This window comes from Homo sapiens, chromosome 17 (assembly GCF_000001405.40).
Source record: "Homo sapiens chromosome 17, GRCh38.p14 Primary Assembly".
NCBI classification, from domain to species: Eukaryota; Metazoa; Chordata; class Mammalia; order Primates; family Hominidae; genus Homo; species Homo sapiens.
The window spans coordinates 64,386,279-64,392,278 of record NC_000017.11 but is presented as its reverse complement, the minus strand read 5'-3'; the positions used below and the strand labels follow the sequence as shown (position 1 = coordinate 64,392,278).

At 49.6% G+C, this 6,000-nt stretch overlaps 1 protein-coding gene across 8 annotated transcripts in view; it reads left to right on the top strand.

Moving 5' to 3' along the window:
• PECAM1 (platelet and endothelial cell adhesion molecule 1) overlaps positions 1,419-6,000 on the top strand; it is a 71,446-nt gene continuing 66,864 nt past the window's right edge. For all 8 annotated transcript variants that reach the window (XM_017024741.2, XM_047436251.1, XM_017024739.2 and 5 more), the window contains exons 1-2: positions 1,419-1,677; positions 1,764-1,790. In XM_017024741.2, the coding sequence (XP_016880230.1) occupies positions 1,614-1,677; positions 1,764-1,790 (91 nt within the window). In that variant the 5' untranslated portion in view covers positions 1,419-1,613. The remainder of the gene's footprint in view (positions 1,678-1,763; positions 1,791-6,000) is intronic.

Below are 6,000 nucleotides of genomic sequence, written 5' to 3'. Positions count from 1 at the left end.
CCATCGCGCTCTGCCAGATTCTAGTATTTTCTACCATCAAAATATCTATTACCCAATGAAAAGTCTAAAGGCCAATCTTTTTTTTTTTTTTGAGACAAAGTCTTGCTCTGTCACCCCAGGCTGGAGTGCAGTGGTTCGATCTCGGCTCACTGCAACCTCCGCCTCCCGGGTTCAAGCGATTCTACTGCCTCAGCCTCTTGGGTAGCTGGGATTATAGGCGTGTGCCACCGTGCCTGGCTAATTTTTGTATTTTTATTGGAGACAGGGTTTCACCATGTTGGCCAGGCTGGTCTGAAACTCCTGACCTCAGGCAATCCTCCTACCTCAGCCTCTCAAAGTGCTGGGATTACCGGCATGAGCCACGACTCCCGGCCCCAAAGGTCAATCTTAAAGCTACAAGGTATCTTTTAAAAGGAGTAGGAATAACGTATTTTGAGGCTTAAAGGAGTAGGAATAGTGTATTTTTAGATTTGAAGCCATCTTCTAAAGGGTACGATATTTGGTTAACATGTCACTCCTTATCGCCATGGAAGAAGTTAATTCTATTCTTTTTTTTTTTTTTTTTGAGATGGAGTCTCACTCTGTTGCCCAGGCTGGAGTACAATGGTGTGATCTCAGCTCACTGCAACCTCTGCCTCCTGGGTTCAAGCAATTCTCCTGCCTCAGCCTCCTGAGTAGCTGGGATTACAGGGGTTCTCCACCATGCCTGGCTAATTTTTGTATTTTTTTTTTTAGTAGAGGTGGAGTTTCACCATGTTGGTCAGGCTGGTCTCAAACCCCTAACCTCATGATCCGCCCGCCTTGGCCTCCCAAAGTGCTGGGATTACAGGCGTGAGCCACCACGCCCAGCCGTTAATTCTATTCTTACTGCTTACTCCCTTATTTTGTATGTTCTTCTTCTATCTTACATCTTTTGCTTTTGCTATTGCTTAAGCTAGCCTACGCCCAAGGGTGCTCTTTGCCCCCTACTTCCTCTGCTATTCTCTCGCCTCAGTTCCGCTGCATTCCAAGCTCAGCCTGCCCCAGCAGCAGGTCTCTTTGACAAACCTGCAATTTTGGGGAAAAGTCAGCCCAAGAAAGGCAGGGGGCCCAGACTTATGCTGTGTGGCAAAAGCCCTCTTTGATGGGGGAAGGGGAGGACTGGAAAAGCAGAGAGATCTTTCTGGATGTCCTGGGAGAGCAGCCCTTTGGGTGGTGGGTGGAGGCTGGAGGCAGGGAGGAATCCCCTCACAGTGCCATGAGAAGGGCCCCCAAACCCAGGCGAGACAGAGGGAGGGTCAAGAACGCCAAGGCAAATGTCACTTGTGCCTTGTTTTTTCCCTAAAGAAACTAAACAAAGCGGCCGCGTTCGGTGGCCCCTCAGGAAGGCCGGTCATTTCCTGAGGAGATATCAGGCCAGCCCAGGCCCCATTGTTCCCGGTTTCCAGCCATGGCTGCCATTACCTGACCAGCGCCACAGCCGGTCTCTCTGCAGGCGCCGGGAGAAGTGACCAGAGCAATTTCTGCTTTTCACAGGGCGGGTTTCTCAACGGTGACTTGTGGGCAGTGCCTTCTGCTGAGCGAGTCATGGCCCGAAGGCAGAACTAACTGTGCCTGCAGTCTTCACTCTCAGGATGCAGCCGAGGTGGGCCCAAGGGGCCACGATGTGGCTTGGAGTCCTGCTGACCCTTCTGCTCTGTGAGTGTTTACTCTGTTTCCACATCACTTTAACTCCATGAGCATCGAAGCTTCTGGAATCAACATGTTTCTTATGTTTCTTGCAGGTTCAAGCCTTGAGGGTCAAGAAAACTGTAAGTCTGATGTTTCCACTGTAACAGATGTTTCTACCTGGCTTCCTCCTTTCTCTTCTGTGATGCCTAAAACGCACATTAAATTGCTGGGGTTTGATACTTCTAACAATTAAGGAAAAGAATCCAATTGAGAACTAAAGTTTATCCCATGTGGGCATTTTTAGAAAGGCTTAGATCTAAGCCAAGTTCTGGTCAGTGTGTTTTAGAAGTAGCACACGTTTCCTTGGCTGGTCTGAAAGTAGTGGGTTATCTTGATGAATTGTTTAGTCAGTTACAGATCAAACTCCATGTTCTTTTCTCTGTTCTCACGACTACTCTTGACTAGTCTAAAAATATATTAGGTTGTTGCAAAGTAATTGTGGTTTTTGCCATTACTTTTTTAAAAGATGGCAAAAAACACAATTATAAGTAGCACACATTTTCTTTTTTTTTTCCTTTTTTTTTTGAGACAGAGTCTCTGTTACCCAGGCTGGAGTGCAGTGGTGCAATCCCGGCTCTCTGCAAACTCCGCCTCCTGGGTTCAAGGGATTCTCCTGTCTCAGCCTCCTAAGTAGCTGGAATTAGAGGCGCATGCCACCAGGCCCGGCTAATTTTTGTATTTTTAGTAGAGACAGGGTTTCACCATGTTGGCCAGGCTGGTCTCAAACTCCTGACCTCAGGTGATCCGCTGGCCTCCACCTCCCAAAGTGCTGGGATTACAGGTGTGAGCCACCGCGCCCGGCCTCACATTTTCTAGATTTCAGTGCATTGCTGTTTTTTGGGATGGGGAGGTGATTTTTTTATTTTAATGAGCAATTCCATAATTAGTTTTTTGTTGTTTTACCATAATGGCTTATTTGAATATTGTAACCTATCCCCAACTGTTTTTATTTGCAAATGAGATATAATTGATTTGTTAGACATATGAAGACAGATCCTAGTTTAAATTGTTGCTACTTTTTTTACTCCTAAATGATAAAAATCACACACTGGAGCTCATTTTCCATTCACCTGTGAGGCTACAAGTATATCTGTAATATTTTGTGCTTGTACAAAGGGAAGTGGGGTGCTGCCTATCTTTGAAGCCTGGTTTATCTTCCACTTTACAGCTAATTTTGAACCTTTGTCTTGAGATGAGAGGGTTTTGTTCTGCTTCTTCTGGGACCACATGAATGAGGGGGCTCAGTAGTGTCCCGGGGCTGTGAATAGAGGGAGAGCCCACAGAACACTATTTCCTTGTCAGAAGTCACTGCAATCAGCAAAGAATGGAGGTGACTGGGTTGCAGGCAAATTGCACAGCTCTTTGGAGGTGAAGTCCATGGGCAAGGCTAGCTGGTGAGTCAAGCCTCGGAGCAGTGGCCCCAGGCTGGGGAGGGCTAGTTGGCCACTGGCAAAGCCCCTCTGCCAGGCTTCTCTGCTCAACTGTAGGTGCTTCCTTGGGCATTTGATCCCCATGGCAACCCACGGAGGCAGGATATCCATAATCTTCATAATTATCCTGCTGGACTGATGGTGTCACCAAGCCTCAGAAATAACCGATTTTACCAGCCGCGTTGGCTCACACCTGTAATCCCAGCACTTTGGGAGGCCAAGGTGGTCGAATCACTTGAAGCCAGGAGTTCAAAACCAGCCTGGCCAAAACAGTGAAACCCCGTCTCTACTAAAAATACAAAAAATTAGCTGGACATGGTGGCACATGCCTGTAATCCCAGCTACTCGGGAGGCAGGGGCATGAGAATTGCTTGAACCCAGGAGGCAGAGGTTCGGTGAGCCAGGATTGCGCCACTGCACTCCAGCCTGGGCAACGGAGCAGGACTTTGTCTCAGAAAAAAAGAAAGAAAGAAAGAAAGAACCGATTTGTCCACGAGAGAGGCAGTTGGCTGGGCACTGGGACTGGAACTTCCACTCTCTGAAGCTGCACCATTTGTCTGGAGCCATAGGCCTGACTCAAGTCTTTTAGACCAGTTTTACTTAAGCTCTTTGATTTGTTTTCCCAATCTGTAACATGGGGATGATAAGAGAACTTCGTGGGCATGAAGTGGGTGTGAGGTTGAGACTGGATAAAAGGAGGTGATTAATTGGCCCCCGCCTCGAGGTGATTGATAAATGACAATGGTGTTTACTACACGGTCCTAGCCCCCCTTTACGACTGTGACTCCTGCCCTACCCACTCTCCCTTTGTCCACTCCAGCCCTCGTACCCTCCCAGACCACACCCTTTGGGCCAGACCCTGCCCTGCAGACACTCACGCTTTGGGGTCCCTCTTTTTCTTACCCACAACATCCTGTTTCCCAAAACCGTGGTGCTCTCCCCTCTCCCCCTCCACACCACATGGAAGTCAATTGCTCCCTCCTTTGGGTTCCTAGAGAATGAATGTTCTTTGTACCTTCAGGGAAGACGTTGGAACTGCAGCACATGGCACAGGGAGCGACTCTCCCACTGCCTCCTCAGGCCTCTGCCTTGTTTTACACTCAAGGAAACAGACCCAGAGGCCACAAGGCACCAAGCAAGCAGGGTCAACACTGGGGGTGGGCAGGGCGGCGGCTGGAACCAGGTCTCCATTCCTTAGGCCCCCTAGGCCAGCATTTGCAGTGCGTGGCCTGCAGGCTTGCTCTGAGTCTCCCGCTCTGCGGCTGGGGTCCTGGGACAGCCTCGGCCCTTTCCCTTCCTTCCATCTCAGGCCTCTTTGTTCCCCTCCAGCCCGCACCTCACTGCAGCTGCCTCACCTCAGGAGGTGACGGCTGCTCCATCTTCACCTAGAAAACAGTCATCTGGAGGGAACTCCCTCAACTTCCCGCCTGGGCCTGGCTGCAGGCTTATCAGCCTCTCCACCCATCCTCTCGGTTTCCCTCCCGGCCTCGGAGGACACATGCACCCTGCTCCTCAGCTGATGGGGGCCAGCCAGGCACTTAGGCTGAGACCCTTCCTCACCCCCAGGACCCCACGCCTACGTGCATTCAAGTCCCTCTCCCCTACCACCACTTCTAGAATCTCTATTTCTGCTTCTGGCTCTGTTCTCTCAGTGAATGGGAACTCTTTTTTTAGGAAAAAGAAAAATCACAAGCAGACACCCACCCCCACCGTTTATCTGGTGTCCCCCTATCTGGCCTTTCTAGTTTCCTTTCTCAGTCGAACCTCTCTGAAAGTTAGTTTATAATCTGTGCCTACCCACCTCACCTCTCAGACACGCCTCGCCTCCCAGCAGCCTGGCCTCAGGCCCCACTTCTCCGGCTGTTGGGTCTCCTCTTGCTGAGGGGTCACCAAGGACCACCTGATGCCAAATGCAACGGACACTTCCAGCCCTCGGCTCCCTGTACCCCTTTCCTGCCTTTGACTTTTGATCGTGCCCCAAAGCCTCGCTCCTTGACCTTTTCCATCCTCTTCCCTGCTTTGTCTCCTCACTCTCTAACAAACCCTCTTCCTTCTCCCCCATGGCTGACTTTGGACTTACTTTGTCTTCTCCTGGAGTCTGAACCCTGTCCTGGTCTCTGCGGGCTCCTGGTCTTATCCTCCCTGGAGACCAGCTCCCCTCTCAACACCTCCACATTCCCCCCTCCTCCCCTAAGTTCACACTCCTCCCACCTTCACAGTCCAGCCCTGGCCTCTGCCCTGAGCCTCCAGTTAACACAGGCTGACCTTTGATGTCTCCTCCCAGTCCTCCTACTGGCCCCTCACACGCAGCTGCACCACCATCACTTTGTCTTCCTTCCTTATCTTTTTCTGTTTGTTTGTTTGTTTTTGTAGAGACTGGGGTCTCATTTTGTTGCCCAGGCTGGTCTCAAACTCCTGGGCTGAAGCCATCCTCCTGCCTCGGCCTCCGAAAGTGCTGGGATAACAGATATGAGCCACCACACCCAGCTGCGTGTGGCATTTTCTATTTTAGTTTGGTGGCACACACATCCTCCTGGGAATCTAATCCAGGAAGTTTATCTTCCATTCTTTCAACCCCATATCCAATCAAACAAAGTCTTTTTTTAAATTGTGGTAAAATACAAATAATATAACATTTATTATTAATGACATTTAGTACATTCACGGTGTTGTGCAACCATCACCATTGTCTAATTCTAGAACATATTCTTTCTTTTTCTTTTTTTTTTTTTTTTGACAGAGTCTCACTCTTGTTGCCCAGGCTGGAGTGCAGTGGTTGGATCTCAGCTCACTGCAACCTTCACCTCCCAGATTCAAGCAATTCTCCTGCCTCACCCTCCTGAGTAGCTGCAATTACAGG